The sequence below is a fragment of the Homo sapiens genome, chromosome 11, assembly GCF_000001405.40.
Source record: "Homo sapiens chromosome 11, GRCh38.p14 Primary Assembly".
In the NCBI taxonomy this organism is placed as follows: Eukaryota; Metazoa; Chordata; class Mammalia; order Primates; family Hominidae; genus Homo; species Homo sapiens.
The window spans coordinates 45,264,133-45,284,115 of record NC_000011.10 but is presented as its reverse complement, the minus strand read 5'-3'; the positions used below and the strand labels follow the sequence as shown (position 1 = coordinate 45,284,115).

The following is a 19,983-nucleotide window of genomic DNA, read 5'->3' as shown; positions in this document are numbered from 1 at the left end:
ACACCAAGCCCTTTTCTGCCCCTTCATTTTTCTCTGGCCTTTCATACAAATGGCTCCTTCTCATCCTTCAGGTCTTTTTCCATTTAAAGTCTCAGGGAGGATTTTGCCTACTGACACATAAAACAAAACACCCTCTTCCTGTTATTCTCTCCCATATTGTTTCTAACAAATCCTTTTATGGCACTCTTTACATTAGGATGCAATCTTTCATATTCACTTACTGGTGTATAATATTTATTCCCAGCACCCTCTCAGTGCCTGGAAAGTAGTAGGTGTCCAATAAGAAATTGTAGATGAATAAAGTCATCTCAGGGGTCATCCAATGGGGATTATCATCTTCAAATACTGGTGCATGCACCATGTCTTTGTAACCATGTGCAAGCTCAATAGGGGCACAATAAATATTTGTTGATACATGATACCTGCCCATCCACATTCCCTTACCTGGTTCCCTCAGTGACAAAGATGTGGGCAACTTGGGGCTGAATCTATGGGTGTGAATGTGTTGAAGCTGAGATCTCACAATGACTTGGTTGCTGTTGTTCTCAGATTCATTCAGCCACTGGCCCAGATGAAGTAAATAGAGAAAAGACAACCAATTGACATTTCAAAGCAAGTAAAGAGGGTGGCAACCATTAGCGGTGACAGATGACAGGAGGGTGATGTACATGGCACCTATTGACAAGTAGGACAAGAGCCAGGGAAGCTCTCTGAGGATGTTCCTTGAGGAAAGAAGGTATGGAGGCTGGAAAATAGGGGTCTAGATGACTGTAATCACAACAGAGGTGTCCAAGGCCTAATAGCCAGTGTCTCTGTAACTCACTAGTTTTGGCTGCTGAAAAAATTCTTTGGGTTTGGAGGCTATTCCTAGAAATCTGATTTCTGACCCTGAATGGCTGGATGAAGTTGAAGTTTGTAGTGATTTTGAAAAGAAATTTGGAGTTTTCCCAGGAGTTTTGTTTATTTTTTACATAAGGTCTGACTCCATCACACAGGCTGGAGTGCAGTGGTGTGATCACGGCTCACTGAAGTCTTGACTTCCTGGGCTCAGGTGATCCTCCCACCTCAGCCTCCCATGTAGCTGGGAATACAGGCACGTGCCACCACGCCTGACTAATTTTTTTTATGTTTTGTAGAGACAAGGCTCACCATGTTGCCTAGGCTGGTCTCAAACTCCTGGGTTCAAGCAATTTGCCTGCCTCAGCCTCTCAAACTGTTAGGGTTACAGGCATGAACCACTGTGCTTTGCCCCCAGGGGTTCTTAATCTGGGTCCACAAACCTCCCACCAAAGGGTCTGTAGATAGCATTAAAAGGTTTGTGGTCTTGGATAGGAAAAAAATGACATCATTATTTTCACTTACCTCTAACTGAAGCAGTATTTTCTGTAATTAGGAATAGCAACAAAAACCATAGCGTATCATCCATACCTGTGACTTTGTCCCCAAGGGAAATCACAGATAGCTTGGTAGCACATTACAGCTGTTGCAGATGGTTCACATTAGATTTACACTCATCTCTCATTCTAAATTATGGTACTTATTAAATCTCCTGCTAGACTCTGTTATTTAATGAATTAATAAAGAAGCAAACATATAGCTACTTCACAATTTGGTTTTATTAGACAGTGCTTTGCAGCCCTTTGTCTTTTATTTTCTGCTTTTTCCAACAATTCAGAGGAAGTGTCCCTAGGCAGCCCTCGGCCATTCATTACCTCTCATGCTTCCAGCTGTTTTCAAGTCACAGTTCTTTGCTTTTCTGAAATATACACTCTGGACCCTTTATCCTGCCTTCTTAGACAGTGCCTCACTCTTAATGTGCAGCCCTTCCAGGTATGCAAGGAATTCAGTTTTACTACGCCGCCCACTCCTGGCCTGGCAGGTCACCTGGGACCTCTCTGTCATCAGCCTACCTCTAGAAGCTTGATTATTAGGCAGTGACCTGGCAGCTTGAGCAAGGAGAAAGAGCCAGGGAGGCAAAGCGAGAATGATGGTTTCTCCTTCACCATTACTTCTGAATCTATTAGTGAGCGGCGGCCAGACCCATGGGTTCCTGCCTCTGAATTTCCTCATCACCCTTGTCTGCACAGGCTGCCACTCAGCCCACTTCTGGGACCTTTCATAGAAAGTCCTCCTTTCGCCCAACCTAAAGAATTGGGAGTAAGAAAGGAGAACTGCTCTTTTCCCCTTGCCCCACGGCTCAGTCCTGTACCCCTACCATTTGGCAGGCACCCGCCTCCTGTTTTCAGAAAGCCTTCTTTTTCATGGCCTAGTTTTCTCCCAACACAGTGTTTACCTTGCTGTGCACTTAAGTGAGTCTTTTCAAATGCCAGAGAGGTCCCCTGGGTGACCCCAGTGCTGTACCTTTGAAGCTAACACATGGCCAAAGGCTTTATTGAAATTGCTTGGCCCTCAGCAGGAGTTCCCACACCAATTTTTTTTTTTTTTTTTTGAGGCAGAGTCTCACTCTGTCGCCCAGGATGGAGTACAGTGGCATGATCTCGGCTCACTGCAACCTCCACCTCCTGGGCTCAAGTGATTCTCCTGCCTCAGCCTCCTGAGTAGCTGAGATTATAGGTGTGCACCACAACGCCTAGCAATTTTTTTGTATTTTTGGTAGAGGTGAGGCTTTGCCATGTTGGCTAGGCTGGTCTCAAATTCCTGAGCTCATGTCATCTTCCCACCTCGGCCTCCCAAAGTGCTGGGGTTACAGGTGTGAGCCACTGCGTCTGGCCCCCAGGCCCCTTCTGTCCATATCCCCAGCCACCCACTGTCACATGTGATCAAACTCTACAATCCCATCCTCTTTCCAGCAGAGTCGGGATCACTGAAGTGGCTTTCAGTGGAACTCTAGTAGATTAGTTCTAAGGTTTTACAAAATAATATAAATAAGTGCTGAATTTCTTTCTTTCTTTTTTTTTTTGAGACAGAGTCTTGCTCTGTCATCCAGAATGGAGTGCAATGGTGCAATCTCAGCTGACTGCAACCTCTGCCTCCTGGGTTCAAGCAATTCTCTTGCCTCAGCCTTCCAAGTAGCTGGGATTACAGGCACCTACCACCATGCCCGGCTAATCTTTTGTATTTTTAGTAGAGATGGGGTTTCACCATGTTGGCCAGGCTGGTCTCAAACTCCTGACCTCAGGTGATCCGCCCATCTCGGTCTCTCAAAATGCTAGGATTACAGGCGTGAGCCAGCCCTCATGGCCTGAATTTCTATCAAACAATATATGTGTAGTGGAGCCTTCTCCTTAAGATCAGAGAATTTTTCCTTCATTTTCCTTGTATTCTTGACAATGTCTGGTATGGTGCTGAGCACATGGCAGTGTTTTGAATTAAATCATTATCTTGTAACCTAACACTGAATAAGAGAGGGAAGACACAAAGGAGTGCATACTGTTAGGGCTCCACTGACACAGGATTTGAAGCCAGCACAGTTTATTTATGGTGTTACCCTGGGGGACAGGAAATGACTGCAGCGGGTAGGAGAGCTTCTGGGCTTTGTTCATGCTCTGCCTCTTGACGTGGGTGCTGGTTACAGAGGTGTGTTTACTTTGTGAAGATGCATCCAGCTCTACATTTATGATTTATGTACTTTTCTGTCTGCAGTTATACGTCAGTAAGGTTTTTATTAAAAAGTGTCATATTGTGACATGTTTGTGAACATTAATTGAGTACCAGGCCAGTATTTTTTTATTGCCAGGAGGACTTTGGGGCCATATTCAAGAGACATGAGCCTCCTTTTTGTGTTTTTTTTAATAAATTGCTTCTTCGGCCCTGTTTGCTTTCTGCTGTTTCTCCCATGGCCACCTCCTGTGTGCTGCATAAAGGATTCCCCCTGGGGATTGGGACGTTAAGACCATCAGTGTGGTCCTATTAGGCCTCCTACCTCTTCTCCTCTTCCTTAGTCCTCTAGAGCAACGCCTTCTCTGATTGTTTCTTTTAATTCACACATGTAAGAGTGAGGATGGACAGATGCTGCATTTCATTAGTTAAATAGTTCATTCATCAAAGATTAATGAGCACATGCTAGGCCTTGGGATATGGCAATGGAAAGACAGACATATGCTTTTCTTGATAAATGGGGAGACAGACAATAAAACAAGCAATTGCCATGATCAGGGAAGCACAGGGTGCCATGGGAAACCCAGGGTGGGGGATATTACTTCCGTCTTCAGCCTAAAGTAGAATTTTCTCCAGTGCAGGTTGTTTTTTCTCCTGAAGTCTCCCCTGTACCTTAATGATGATAGGACGCCCCATGAATTGCTAACCCCACTCCTGGAACTGATTCAACTCTGGAAGGCTGTAAGGTCTGACCTCCATGGATTCTCAGACTTTTACAGGACTCATTTTCTAGCTTACTATTAGCTCATCTCTTGCCTGGTGAACTCACCCATTCATATAAACCACCACCACCACAATGAAGTATTTCCATACAGTAATAAATAATAGTGATAGAATAGCTAACATTTATCAAGTTCTTTATATGTGCCAATCACTGTTCTAAGCATTTTAACCATATTAAAATGTTTTTTGAGACACAGTCTCACTTTGCCACCCAGGCTGGAGTGCAGTGGCGTGGTCATGGCTCACTGCTGCCTCGATCTTCTGAGCTCAAGTGATCCTCCCACCTCAGCCTCCCAAGTAGCTGGGAATACAGTCATGTGCCACCGTACCTGGCTAATTTCTTTTAAATTTATTTTTTGTAGAGAGGGTCTCACTATGTTGCCCAGGCTGGTCTTGCACTCTTGGGCTCAGGCCATCCTCCTGACTTGTCCTCCTAAAGTGCTAGAATTACAGGTGTGATCCACTGCACATGGCCATAACCATATTAATTTTAATTATCACAATAGCCCTATGAAATATGCATAATTATTATTTTTCATTTTGCAGAAGAAAAGTAAAACACAGAAAGCTTAAGTAACATATTCAGTGGGAGAGCTGGGAATCAAATTTACAAAATTTGGCTTCAGAGCCCACACTTTTGACGACTAGGTTGAAGATTAGCAGAAAAAAGTAGTCAAAATTTTATTTGAGCCATTGTGTTTCCCCAGATATGGCATAAAAGTGTCTATAAATACACATCTTTGTAGGTCAACTTCAGAAACCTTTCCCAATGCTTTCGATTGCTTTGCTGCCGCCATCACACTTCAGGCATTGGGTGCAGCCCAGGGCCCTCCACAGAAATTTTACACAGTAAACATGTTTGGGCTGGTTGCTTAGCAACGTGGAAGACAGTATGAATTTTTCATCAAGAAATTAGCATAGATTCTTTCAGGGAGATGAGCACATACCCGCTGGAAATACTCTTCAAAGCACTCACATGTGGACCCCTAAGCCTGTGTCCCTCAGTCTTTTTTCCAGTGACAGGTCTGACCTGTCCCATCTCCCTTCCTCCCCTAGTTCCTTCTTTGGGTACAGTTTGTAGATAATTCAGATACATGGCTCTTCTCTTCATGGAATTGATGATTCACTAGCACCTTTTGTTAATTCTAGCAGAAAACAGTGCTGCATCCTTTCCAGATTTTCAGATACTAGTCAAGTTGTGAGGAGGTACCTGGGGCACAGGAGGAGGGATAGAGAGGCCATTGGATCATGACGAAGGAAACACCTGAAAGACAAACCAGAGGGGGCCCAAGCAAAGGCAGAAGGAAGAGAAGAGACCAGCAGGAGAGGGAAGCATCAGACCCAGAAGACAAAGAGGAGAAAAAATAAGACACAACCATTCCAGGATCAAAGACCTACGAGAGCAATCCGAATATGTGGAGACAGTCCCTTTGTTGTCCACACTGACCTACAATCTCCCAATAACCAGCAGCAGTTCACCTCCCGCTTCCACCTTCTTCTTACTGTATTCAGTACTCCCAGGGCTTATTTCTTGCTAAGAAACAAAGGGAAAATCTGCTCTGAGGATGGAGGAGAATAGCTTCATAGAAGCAAGTTTTAAGAACTAAGAGATTCTATACGTATGTATCAGAATCAACACACGTGCACACAAAGGGTCCCCTATAACTAATTTGATAAGAAATAATGGAACTAATAGAGTTATAAAGGAAAACAGGTGAAAAAGGTGGGTTCCTCCCTCTTTCTTCCTTGGTTGTGTTTATTGAATAACTGTGTGCCAGGTACTGTGCTAGGAAGTGAGGATACAGTGGTAACTACCCTCTTCCCAATGACACAGTGACCCATCTTCAGCTCTCACAAAGCTTATGGTATAATGGGGCAAACCAGAGTTTATAGAAGAAGAGGGCAAATAAATGAAAATGTGTGCTGGTGGTAGGTAACCTGAACAGAAGGTTCTGTTGCTTTGTAAGTGTAAGATGAAGAGCTTTTACAAGAGTACCTTACAAGATGAAAGCTTTCCTAAAGAGTGATGGCCAAACTGCGAGCTAGAGTTGGAGAAGATCTTAACCAGGGCAAAAGGGAAGGATGTTGGGGGCTCCACACAGAGAAATGAGCCTGTGCAAAGGTCCTGTGGCAGGAGGAAGCCTAACATTTACGAGGGCCTGGGGAAAAGCCAGTGTGGCTGAAGAGTAGAGAGAAAGGGAGATCCTGGTGAACAATGAGGCTGGGGAAATAGGAAGGGGCCTGGATGAGCAGGGCATTGTAGACCATAGACAGATTTATTTATTCATGCATTCATAAATCAAACATTTATTAATGTCTCCAGGAGGGGCATTGAGCTACGTACTGATAAGGTGAAGGTTACCATTATTTTCAAAGCTTTTTTTATTCAGGTGAAATTCACATGACATTAATCACTTTAAAGTGTAGGATCAATGCCATTTAGTATATTCACATTGTTGTGCAGCCACTACCTCCACCTAGTTCTAAAACATTTTCCTCACCTCAGAAGAAAACCCCTCATCCATTAAACAGTCACTATTCCGCCCTCCTCCAATCTGTTTTTTGTCTTTATGGATTTGCCTATTCTGGACACTGCATATAAATAAAATCATATGATATGTGGTCTTTTGTGACTGGCTTCTTTCACTTAGCATCATGTTTTCAAGGTTCATCCACATCATAGAATGTATCAGTACTTTATTTTTTATGGCTGAAAAATATTCTGTTGTATGGGTACATGGCATTTTGTTTATCCATTCACCCATTGATGGACATTTGGATTGGTTCTACCTTTTGGCCATTGTGAATAGTACTGCTAAGTACATTCCTGTAGAAATATTTGAGTAACTGTTTTCAATTCTTTCAAGTATATACCTAGGAGTGAGATTGCTGGGTCATATGGTAATTCTATATTTAACATTTTGAGGAATCGCTAAACTGCTTTCCACAACAACTGCACCATTTTAATCTCCACCAGCAATGTATGACAGTTCCCATTTCTCCACCTCCTTGCTAGCAGTTGGTATTTTAATTTTTATTTATTTTATTTATTTTTTTTTTTTAAAAAGTCATCCTACTGGGTGCAAAGTAGTATCTCTTTGCGGTATTTTCTGAGCTTTTAATATCTAAAAAAAAACCCCAAATTCTCACTTTTAAAATATTCATCAGTAGCTGGCAAGTTTTTTTAAAAAAATTTTTATTATAAGTTCTGGGATACATGTGCAGAACGTGCAGGTTTGTTACATAGATATACATGTGCCATGATGGTTTGCTGCACTCATCAACCTGTCATCTACCTTGGGTATTTCTCCTAATGCTATCCCTCCCCTAGTCCCCCACCCACTGACAGGTCCCGGTGTGTAATGTTCCTCTCTCTGTGTCCATGTGTTCTCATTGTTCAACTCTCACTTATGAGTGAGAACATGTGGTGTTTGGTTTTCAGTTCCTGTGTTAGTTTGCTGAGAATGATAGTTTCCAGCTTCATCCATATCCCTGCAAAGGACATGAACTCATCCTTTTTTATGGCTACATAGTATTCCATGGTGTATATGTGCCACATATTCTTTATTCAGTCTATCATTGCTGAGCATTGGGTTGGTTCCAAGTCTTTGCTACTGTGAACAGTGCTGCAATAAACATACATGTACACGTGTCTTTATAGAAGAATGATTTACAATCCTTTGGGTATATATCCAAAAACCACAGTAGCTGGCGAGTTTTCAACAAACATTTGCTGTCTGTATTGAGCAACTATTAAAATGAGTCCACATGGGCAACCCGTAAAAACATTTCATTGTTCATGAGTCTCGTGAGAGGAATGGAGTGTGTGTGCAGTAGTCCTGGCTGCCCTGTTCTTCCAGCAAGTTTGCACCTGCTGCTCTGTCTGTCAAATATGTTATTATTGTCATCTTTCCCATTCTGTTCCCCCAAGCTTTAGCCCCTCATGGGTCCCACTAAAATTCCCCCCAATACCCAGGCCCTGCAAACCCCATCTAATTGAGGCAGTATTTAGGGTCTTTCAATATTTCCTTACCAGGCCAGTGTGATGCCTGGAGGAGCCTTGCCCCTCTCCAGGGCCAGTTGCTGCCCACACAATGAACCTTCAGGAGGAGTTCAATAAGTCCCAATTCATTAGATAAAGGGTGCTGTAATTGCCTTATGTTATAGAAAAGTCCTGGGAGATTTTTACACACTGCTTAAGAATGTTACAATGATATTTGGGGAAGTTGATTGTGGTTTTGGGGTAGACTTGGAATGCATTATAATTTTTCCCTTAAAATAATGGAGTACCAGTGCCTGCTTTCTGAAATCTGCTAATCACCATGTTTTTAGGAACAGATCAGAGTCAAATAATGAGGGGGAGTTGCATATATGAATATGAATGAAAACAAGCGTAAAGGAGAGAGGGGTCCTGTGAGAATTCTGCGAAATTGAGTCAGTCCATCTGGCATAGACCCTAGAATATTTTGACATATTTCATTGATTCCTCTCCCTATCCCCACCTCCACTCATTAAGTCCAAGACATGCTTTTTCTGTCACAGAAAGTTGAGCAGGACTTAGCACATGGCAAAGAGAAGTGAGGAGACATGTTGAATGACTGAATACATTGATGAATGGATGGGTAGACAAATGAGGAGGTAGGGATCTGTGGGGCTGCCACCTCTGCTTGTAGCCAAAATGAAAACCACAGGCACAGAGAAGCAGGGGAGGGTGCTGAGTCCACCGAAGGATCTCTATGCTTGCCTTTAGTGATATATCAAGAAATCAAGACCAGCAGGAAGCATGTGGCAACTTCACTTTTTACAGGTTTCTCTCCTTTCAGGTCTCTGTTCATCTGGCTAACGTTAGAGAGAGTTTTTTAAATCTTCACCTGCAAGGCCAATGAGGTAATACCCAGGGAGATGTTTTATTTGGAAGAGCATTATAAACCACACAGGTTGGACTCTCTGGTAAGAACAGCACGATGTAAAGGCTGTAGGTTTATTGAGGCAGGATTGCAAAGACTTTGCTTTTCAAATAGAATTAAGAAGGATGTTTTGGAAAAGATGGTGTTTGAAGATGCAGATAAGGTTGGGTAAAAGCGGTTTGGTAAGGCAACTGGAAGAGTTGATTGAAACAGCTGCAAGTGTAGAATATCTTCTGTTAGCTTTAAGCTTATTCTGCATTTCTGAATGCCCCCTGCACCCTGCTTCTCAGAGCATATCGCGGAGCATCTTAAAATACACTTTGATTTCCAGCACAGTCACTTCACATAGAGGAAAGGGGAAGCTATCAGAGAGGAATACAGTGAAGGCAGTGATGTGACATGAGGAGAAAATATTCACATGATTTGGAGGGTTTCTTTGCACATTCTTTGCAATGCATCATCTAATGATCTCGTCTCTTACTTACTAACAAATGGAGCAGATTCTTTAAGTGGCAACATGACTATCACCCTTTGCAAAACAGCCTCCATACAAAACACATAGAGACAAAGAACAGAAAGGAATGAACGTGAGGTTAGGTGCCTAGCCTAATCCCACCACATTGTAGCCTTGCATTTGATTTTTGGGTACCCATTGGAGTTAATTTTAGGTAACAATCTTTGAGACTACTCGAAAGAAAAAATTAACTCAGAATGAAAATGTTCACTTTTATAATCAAGATGCTGAGCTAAAATGGGAATCAAATGAGACTCAAAAACCTGAATTTGAATTCAGACTCCACCATCTCCTAGCCAAATCACCACAGCCATTCTGAATCCCACTTTGCTCATTCATGAAACAGGGATTCTACAAGGTTCTCTAAGGTTATATGGAAGAATGAATGAGATGACACGTATGAAAGCACCCAACGGATTCAGCACTTGCCTTTGATCAAAGGATATTTTTAAGAATCTGTTAATTATTTTCTTATTTATCCTTTACCAAAGCAATGACTTGTCTATTCACCATGCGGGAAAGAAAAAATTCATTAACAGTATTCCAGACGTGATAAATGAAACGTGTCTGTTAGAATGAAAAGGGGAACATGAACATTCCACTTCTAGGATGATTATTCATTCAATAAATATGTCTTGCATACCTGCTATGTGCAAGGCACTGAGTTAGTCCTCGGGACAGTGCAGTGACAAGGCAGAACCCATCCCTGACCTCATGTCGTTAATATTCTAGAGGGAGAGATGTTCATCACACAGTTATACACAGAATGTAGTAAGTGCTAGAAGTCATCTCCTTGTGCCTCCAGAACCCCCTAAATGCTCCCCCGTCAACCCCAAACCTACTTCTTCCCCACCCCCTGCTCCAAGCCTATCCCCATTTTCTCCCCCTCCACACCCTGGCCCCAGAAGGCCCCCACCTATCAGCTGCATTGACCAACTCCTCTGCCTTTTGGCATCAGGTGGAGTTGGCCCAAAGGAGATCTGAGGACAAGAGGAGTGTGAGGGGCCTTCATCACCCCTGCTCCCTCCCTGCTAGGTGCCTGGGGGCTGGCTACATCCTCAGCTGAAAGGCTCAGATCCTGTCAGGCCACTGTCTCCCTTCGGCACCCTGTCCTGTTTCCAGTGACCTCTCCTGCTTCTTGCCCCTTCAGGCCTAGGGATGGTAAGAGTGCCCAGCTCTCCCAGTCCCTACATACTCGCCATTCCTTGTTGCTTTCCTTAACCCTCCATACATTTGTAAATACCTGCTTTATGAAACTCTCCTCAATTACCCAGTTATAATGTGCCATCTCTTCCTGCAAAAACCCTTATTGATAGCATACTCAAACCATGTTAGCTATTATTACCAACCCTAATGATTAATAATAATAAAGGAAGAGTCTGTGAGTCAGAGGAAGTGTGCCAATGAAATTGGCAAAACTCAGGACCAACAGTGATAACACCCTCTATTTGCACAAGGTTCTATTGTTCAGAAGCCACTTTCGTTTTCCCATTTGATTCAGCATCTAGCCTGATGCTTTGTGCGTCTTGAAGCCTTTAATATCTGCTTGCCAAACAGACACACCTGCAGGTAGGAAGCTCTGGGGCTGTTATTCTCATTTCAAAAAGCCTGGAGTGAGCTGAGGAAAAATAGTTCTCATTTATAGTAATTTGGAGCCAGGTACTCTGATATCACTGACCTTCCATGATCAAATCATATTTTGGGACATTTTGTAGACTGTTTGATTGTCAGCCCATGTAACACAGAAGGAAATCTATTAGGTTTGCATCTCATTTAAAAGAAGGAACAGCTAGATCTATGGATGATACTGACTGGCTTTGAATCTGCCAAAATGTCAGCTGGTGGAAGAATGTTAGAAGCAGCACCTTAATGGCCATCCCTTGAAATCTGCTTCCTGACTAGTCATGAAATTCACACAGAAGAATCACTTTGTCGCCCAAACATGGCAGAGACTGCAGACATCCAGTGACACACAGGGGTTCTGCTTTTTTCTTTCTTTCTTTCTTTCTTGTTATACTTTAATTTCTGGGATACATGCGCAGGACATGCAGGTTTGTTACATAGGTATACACATGCCACAGTGGTTTGCTGCACCCATCAACTCATCACCTATATTAGATATTTCTCCTAATGCTATCCCTCCCCAACCACCCCACCCCTGACAGACCCTGGTGTGTGATGTTCCCCTCCCTGTGTCCATGTGTTCTCATTGTTCAACTTCCACTTATGGGTGAGAACATGCAGTGCTTGGTTTTCTGTTCTTGTGTTAGTTTGCTGAGAATGATGGTTCCCAGCTTCATCCACGTCCCTGCAAAGGACATGATCTCATTCCTTTTTTATGGCTGCATAGTATTCCATGCTGTATATGTGCCACATATTCTTTATTCAGTCTACCATTCATGGGCACTTGGGTTGATTCCAAGTCTTTGCTATTGTGAACAGTGCTGCAATAAACATACATGTGCAGGTGTCTTTTTTGGAAAGGGAAGCCTGAGAAGTTATAGTTGAAGTGTATTTTTCTTGAGGCAGCTCTCACTCTTGGATTCCTCCCTTTCCCCAGCACATGGTTCCCCCAACCTGGGTTACCCTCACTGTGTCTCTGTGTCTCCAGGTTGGTTTTCTCACCTAGTTTCCTCCACATCCGTCCATCCCTCCTGTATGAACCTGCTGGTTTCATTTACTGAAAACACTGTTTTGCTCATGTCATTCTCCTACTCACAAACTGTCAACGTTTCTCCATTGTTTATAAGATAGAATTCAAGATTTTTTTGCTTGGCATTCAAGGCCCTTTATGACCTAGCCTCACCATTCCTTTCCAACTCCATTTCTCCAACCCCAGCCTTCCTCTCCAGCTGACTCACCATGTCCTAAGCATGCTCCCCTCTGGATGCACACTGCTGCTGTCCTCCCAATTTGAGATGCCTCTCTCTCTCTCTCATTGTTAATCATCCTTGAATGCTGCATTGAAGCCCCTCGTCCAGGAAGCCTTCTCTGATCACATCAACAATGAAGAGTTCCTCCTTAGGTCTTATGTAGCCTACAGTCCAGGTATTTGGCTTTTTAAGACTGTCTTCTATTTTTATCTATCTTTTCATAAGTTTGAATCAGAAATAGCAAATGTCTTTCATCTTCCATATCAATTCCTATTAATGGATAGTAGCTTCCTGGAGCCCTAAGCTGAACAAACACCCTGTGTCTGAGCTCAGCAGGAAAGAATGCTTCGATCAATTAGCTGAATCTGCCTTGAGCACAGGGTAGGAGAATTGTAGCATAAGCACCTAGTATCTCCCCTTTATGGAATATCTCATCTCTACCATGGGATGGTAAACTCTCTGAGGGTGGGGACTTACTCCTGTGTCTCCCATGGTATGTAGGGTGGGTGAACAGGTGATTGGCAGGCAACAAGTATGTTCTGATTTCTGTTTGACAGCAATATAATGTGGAGCGGTTTGACTTAAAACCAATATATAAGGAGAATCTAGTTAAAACAGCCTCTGTCTTGGTTTTGAAATTGCACTTTATATCTCGGCTGTTTTTTCAACTTCCAGGTTAGAGATTGATGTGCTTTTCAAGTGCTGCATATAAGTGGATGGATGTCTTAGATTAGTGGTTCCCTGCACTTTTTTTCTACACTGCATCACCTCTAATGGGTGATAGTCACATGGGTTTGATGGTTTTGTAGATTTACCTCCTTTCTCTTCCATGAAGAAAAGCTTATCAAAATGCAAAAGTGTGAAAGAGGTCTTATTATAAGGATAACCTTGAATATATGTTAATCAATTTTTAAATGGGTACAAACTCAAATTTTTGTACTTTATTATTTATAATATATTGGCACAATAATGGTTATAGCAGTTGGCCTAGTTAATGGTTTCATCAATTGCCTGAACACCATAGAATCATGTAATCCTATAGCTTCTCTGAAAGAACACCCTAATTTCAATGCCAAGGAAACTGACATAAAAACAAACTTTTCAGCCTTTAATACAAAAGTGACTGTCTTGGGAAAAGAACATTAAATTAGAAACACAAATTAGAAACTAAGAAAAAAAAGTCTAAAGGATTCAAATGAACCAATATTAAACAATTGTGTTCCTATCTGACAGAAGTTTTCAATTATGCAGAGCTGAGATGCTTCTATACACAGACTCAGTTTAACAGGAAAAATGTGAGCCCCTAGTAAACCAGTACAGTGGGACAGGAGAGGGGGCAGAAGTGGAAATTTTGGAAAGCAAACTCAAATTTTGGGAGTCACAGAGACCATGCTCTGAGGTGAAACACATTGCTGACAGCCTTGTTGTGGCCACTGGAGATGGGAAAATAAGGGTAGGGTGGCTGGAGTGAAAAGGCTGTGTTCAAGTCCAGATTACTGACCTTTTAAAATACATCAGTTTATGAGTGTTGATGAGATTACAACATGGTCTTGACATTGCCTTTGTTCAGGGCACAAATGAAACACATTTCCCACACAAAGAATGTTTTGACATCTAATGATGTGACACCTGCCAGAAAAGCAAAAACAATGATTCAAACTTTTCCATTTTCAACTGTGTAGTTGTTATCCAGAGACACAACCCCAAGAAACCACAGACAGTATAGTATACAGGTTAGTAGCACTAGCTTTGGGGTGGACAAAGGTTCAAAGCCCAATGTTTTCATATATTAGCTATGTGAGCTTGGATATGTTTCAATCTCTCTGAGCCTCAGTTTCCTCCTCTGTAGTAAAAATAATTAGGTTATTTTTTATTTGTTAATATTAGGGTATATAGAATAGAGAAAATATTAGGCACTTATCTATAGTTGCGTGAAGATTAAATACAATAAAGTTTGTGTTGTGCATTGCAGAGCATCTGTTACATATGAAGTTTACAGAGGTGGTGGCCAAAGGGCTTTGTGATGTGACTGCTGAAATAATGCAGGGGCCACCTACAAGAAGGAAATCTCTAGGTAGGATCTTGCCATCTTGGGGTTTCCAGTCCCACGGAGTTTTTTGTTTGTTTGTTTGTTTGTTTTGTTTTTTTGTTTGTTTTTTTAATAATTGTTTTAAAATTTAGTTTCCGCCAGAAATGTTGGGATTGCAGCAACATTCACCCTCCTCCTCTCATTGGGTTTTAGCTGTATTGCACCTGCGGACTGACTGTACTCTGGACACAGTGCAAACTTTCCTTCTGCCATCTTGGCGGAATGCCCCTCTCCAATTTCTCTACCTGTCAGACTTCAGGGTGCCCAACCCAAAGTCAGCGTCTCTATGAAACCTCCTGCAGCTCTCCCTTCTTCCCTTCCTTCTCCTACCACCCTCCCCTTCTCCAGGTAAAGCTTGGTTTGCTTCTACAGACTCTGCCTGGTGTTTTACTGTTCTCCATCATAGTTATTACTCTAATAATCCCCCTCCTCCCCACTCCCTGCAACCAGCACACATACAGACTGTGCGTCGGGGTAGCAATCAGTGTTGGCCATGCCTTTTATCCCATAAAAGGCTCTTAATGTTGAATGATGATTGATGGAGTGAATGAGTGAATGGCTAGGCTAGGAGGGTAGAGATGGGACATCCTTCCTCCAGCCCCACTGGCTTCTCCTTATATCTACTCAAGACCTGGGAATGACAACAGACCATTGTGTCTTCCCAGGAAGGGAAGGATGGGGCCAAGCTGGAAAGCCTGTGGGCTCCACAGTCATGTGCCTGGGTTCAATTCCCAGTTCTGCATCTTATTAACCATGTGACTTCAGACTTAACCCTTCTGTGCCTCAGTTTCTTCCTCTAAGTGGGGATGACAGTAATGCCTCCTCATGAGGCTGTGAAGTTTAAATGAAACCGAATGGGTAAAATGCTCAGACTTGTATCTGATACATGGTAAAGCTGCATATGATGGGTTTTCTTTTTCTTCAAATTTTAGCTCAGGGACTTTTCCCTGACCCTCAAATTCTTAGTAGAAACAACTCCTGCGCCCCACCCCCACCCCCCACCACTCAACCGACCTCATTACCATCTGTCCCGGTCTCGACAGCACTTATTCCTAAGGGAAATAGCTTTTTGGGTCCCCTGGCTTCTTGCTGTCTACCCCACTGGAAATGTCCACTCCATAAGGACAGTGATCAGACAGTGTTGTTCGGGCAGTTGGCCATTGTTGAGAGGTTTAATCATTGTTGAATGACAAACAGCAGATAAAACGTTTGCGTTAGGGCTGGCTGGTATTCCTGTTGTGTCTCATCCTGGCCGGGTTGGGAGGGGCAGCTGCCAGCAGGGCTTACCCACCAACAAATCTCCAAGTCGGTCACATCAAGTACCGGCTGGAGGCAGTGAGTGCCCTGGGCCAACCACAAATGGGCTTTTTTAGATTTCAAAATAATCACAAGGGAAAAGGAGAATAGGAGGAGGTGAGCTACGAGGGAGGCGGATTTGAGAAAGGATTGGGGGCACAGACTCGGAACAAACAGGAGAGGAGGTGTTGGAAGGGATAACAAAAGATGGTACAAGGGTAATGTCGCCATGGAAACACTGCGCCGCCTGGACTGGAAGCCAAGCCTCCTCTTCAAGGTGGATTTCCCCTTTGCAGAGTGAACTGTGTCACCTCTCTCCCACTCCCAGAAATAACTGTGGATTTGCCTAAGGGCACATGGCTTCACAATTCTTCAAGCAGGCAAGACGTAGAGGACCCTGGTGCTGGCAGCTTCCTAGGAGATGGAGGCCTAGCAGGCAAATCAGTGTTGCCGGGGGGAGCTGAGCGGACTCTGAGACAGGAGGCCGTGCCTGTGAGCAGCTTAACATGAGAGAGGGGGTGTCTACCTCTACCCTACCTGGATGTTTGGGGCTCCCCCAAATCAGGGTGTTCCCAAGCAAGGCGTCCTTAGGCTCCACCTAGAACCCACCAAGTCAAACCTCTGGGGGGCCTGGGAATCTGAACTGTGCACTCCCCAAATGAAGCTGATGCACGTCAAAGTGTGGGAATTGGCGCTGACAGTCCCGTTTCCCTGACTGATGGGCATGAAGGGGCAGCATAGTGGGTGGTGGGACCAGGCAGCGTCCTGGGCATCCGCCTTAGGGGCACAGAAACGTGGAGGAATGGTCAAGGCTCACTAGAAATGGGAGGCGGTGGCTGAAGTGGCGGGAAGGCAGCAGGGCCTGGTGGTTCCGCAGGGGATTCTGGGGCGAGTCAGCCTGGGTCTGAATGCACCCTCTACCGCCCCCTAGCGGGCCAAGACTTTTGGCACAGAACTGAACTCTACGGACTCAGTGTCCTCGTCTGTAAAATGAAGTTGACAATATTTGTACTTCCTATAAGGTTATTATGAGGATTTAAGAAGTTTATGTTTGAACAGTGCAGGGCACAGGTAAACAAGGCCACAAGGTGGAAGAGGCTGGGACCCTAAGTTTGAAAATAAACGGCCCTTTTCAGACTGTGAGAAATCAACTTTTATTGTGTTCAGCCTTGAGGTTTAGCAGTTGGCCTTCCTTGATGAATACAAGTCTGTTAATAAGTGACTGGCTAGCCATGAAGGTTCAGTTAGTTGTCAGTATCTGCTAGGACACAATTGGTTGGGTGTGCCTTCCTCTACAGAAGGAATGGGCACAGATCAAACCTTTGGACTGGTTAAGAGCTGTGCCCCACATTTTCTCCAGGAAAATTTTCTCTGCAGTTGGAAGTGAAATTTTGATAAACTTCTAAGCTATCTTCAAAGGATAGCGAGGCTGTTCCCACTCAGCCTCTAGGAGTTGGTCCTTCTCTGGAGGCAAAATGAGCAAAATGAGGATCTCTCTCAGTTTCTTACAGCTTGATGTAATGGACTTAATGCCTGTTGTCCAGACATTAGGATGTGTGTATGTGTGTGTGTGTGTGTGTGTGTGTGTGTGTATTTGAGAGGGAGTGGAAGGATTATGGTACCAGACCTAGAAGTCATAAAATAAACAAAAGAAACTTTTCCTTGCTGGTAGTAATTTAAAACATTTTAATACTAAAACAATCATATGGAATCAAATACAAAGACTCATATGAATTTGTAAGATAGAATTGGAGATTTGGAGAAAGATCCCCAATTGCTCCTGACTGCTTCCTCTTCCCTAGAGTACGTGTCAGCTTCTGCCTCTGAGGCTATTTGGAAAGAAAGTTTGAGAAATACTGGTTTAGAGACCAGTGGATCCTAAATGTAGGTCCACAGCCAAGTTCTGGGCTGATTGTGTGCAGGAATCACTCAGCAAACTTGCTGAGCATACAGATTCTTCAACCACCCCAGAAAGCCCAATTCAGCATGTTACTCAGAGGTGCATGTGTGTACAAGTATCTATCTCTCTCTCTATTTTTATTGTGATGTAATTTGCATACAGTGAAATATACACATCCTAAGTTTACAGCTTAATGAATTTTGACAAATATGTATCCCTCAGGCTGTAACCCATACCCCTCACATGCCTCTTCCCAGTCCATTCTCCCCAAAAGCAGTCACTGTTCTGATGTCTATTACCACTGATGAGTTCCACCTGTCATAGAACTTCATCTAAATCAGGGTTTCCCAACTTCAGCCCTAATGACATTTTGGGTTGATAATTCTTTGTTGTGGGGGAATTAGGGAACGAATGTGTGCCCTCGAATTCATATGTTGGAATTCTCACCCCAAAGGCTATGATATTAGGAAGTGGGCCCTTTGAGGGGTGATCAGGTCATGAGGGTAAAGCCCTCATGATGGGATTAGTGCCCTTGAAGAAGACATGTGAGAGAGATGCTGTCTGCTCTCAACCATGTGAGGATGCAACAAAATGGCTCTCTGCAAACCGGGAAGTGGGCTTTCCCCAGATACCAGATTCACCAGCTCATTGATCTTGGACTTCCAGCCTCTAGAACTGTGAGAAATGAACATTTGTTGTCGAAGCTACCCAGTTTACGGTAAGTTTTATAGCTATCCAAACTGAGATAGGGGTTGATGTTGTGGCATGCTTAGCAGCATTCCTGGCCTCCAGGAACAGCTCCCAACCCCCATGGTGACTGTGGTCAATAGCAGCTCCACTGCCTCCAGTTGTGGCAACCAAAAATGTCTCCAGACACTGCAAATGTCGCCTGAGCGGCCAAATTGTCCCTGGCTGAGATCCAGCACTGTCAGTGGAATCATGCAGTATGTATGCGTAGACAGCTGTCTTCTTTTCCTCAGCATGTTTTGGTAATTCTTCTCTATTGTTGAGTGTACCTGAAACTCATTCCTTTTGTTGGTCGAGGAATATTCCATTGTAAGAATATGCCCCAATGGACTTCTCCATTGTCCTGTTGGTGGAAGGCTGGGCTGCTTTCAGCGTTTGGCTAGGATGAGTCACGTTGCTCTCAGTAGCCATGTCTAAGTCTTCTTGCAGATTCATGTTTTCCTTTCTCTTGGATAAATACGTGGGAGTGGATAAAAACTGTTGAGTCATAGGGTAGATTTATGTTTAACTTTTAAGAAACTTCCAGTTTTCCAACGTGGCTTGCCATTTTCCCTTCCACCGGCACTAGTGACCATCCCAAATGTCTCACATCCTTGTCCACACTAGTGTTGTCAGTCTTTTTGATTTTAGCCATTTTAGTGGGTGTGTAGTGGTGTCTACATTTTTTTTAACATCTTCCTGGGTAATTCTCACAAACAGCTGTATTAGTTATCTATTGCTGTGTAACAAACTACCCCAAAACACAATGGCTTAAAACAACAATGCTTATTATCTCAGTTTCTGTGGGGTCAGAAATCCAGTCATGGCTTACCTAGGTCCTTTGGCTCAGAATCTCTGCCAGGCTGTGGTCAAGGTGTCCTCTGGGGCTGTGCTCATCTCAGGGTTTGACTGGGGCAACCTCTACCTCCAAGCTTGCTCTTGTGGTTGTTGGCAGGATTCAGTTCTTCCTGCGGTGCCCTCGGGTCTTTGCACATGGGGCTCTCTATAGGAAAGCTTTCAACATTGCAGTGTGTTTTATCAGAGGGAGTGGGTGAGAGAGAGCAAGGAAAATGGAATGTCATTTTTTTGGTAATCTAATCTTAGAAGCATTGTCTTCTCACATTTGCATAATCTGTTCATTCGAAGCAAGTCACTAGGTCCAGCCCATACTCAAGGACAGGGGATTATACAAGGGCGTGGACACCAAGGGACGGGACACTGAGAGGTCTCATCATAGAGGCACCTACCATGGTGGCTCTGATGTGAGAATGCTTGATCTAGACCAGAGCTTCCCCAACCATCTGTGAGAGAGGATCCAGTTTAGCTTAGTTTAGTTT

General features: G+C 43.6%; 1 protein-coding gene across 3 annotated transcripts in view, besides 1 other annotated feature; it reads left to right on the top strand.

Annotated features, from left to right (window-relative positions):
• The window catches only part of SYT13 (synaptotagmin 13), a 46,040-nt gene that overhangs the window by 2,226 nt on the left and 23,831 nt on the right, over positions 1-19,983 (top strand). Inside the window, exon 2 of one of the 3 annotated variants that reach the window (NM_001247987.2) lies at positions 14,608-14,709. The exons of 1 other annotated variant lie outside the window; for it this stretch is intronic. The gene's annotated coding sequence lies outside the window, so the exon portion shown is untranslated. Of the gene's footprint in view, positions 1-9,204; positions 9,229-14,607; positions 14,710-19,983 lie in introns of those variants that run through there. One more of the 3 variants, XM_047427339.1, reaches the window with a different exon arrangement.
• Positions 16,691-17,191: an enhancer, noted in NCBI's record as "H3K4me1 hESC enhancer chr11:45288476-45288976 (GRCh37/hg19 assembly coordinates)". NCBI's record gives its function as "activates a minimal SCP1, AML or CMV promoter by ChIP-STARR-seq in naive and primed H9 embryonic stem cells {active_cell/tissue: H9 hESC(naive and primed)}" and the evidence as "EXISTENCE:reporter gene assay evidence [ECO:0000049][PMID:30033119]".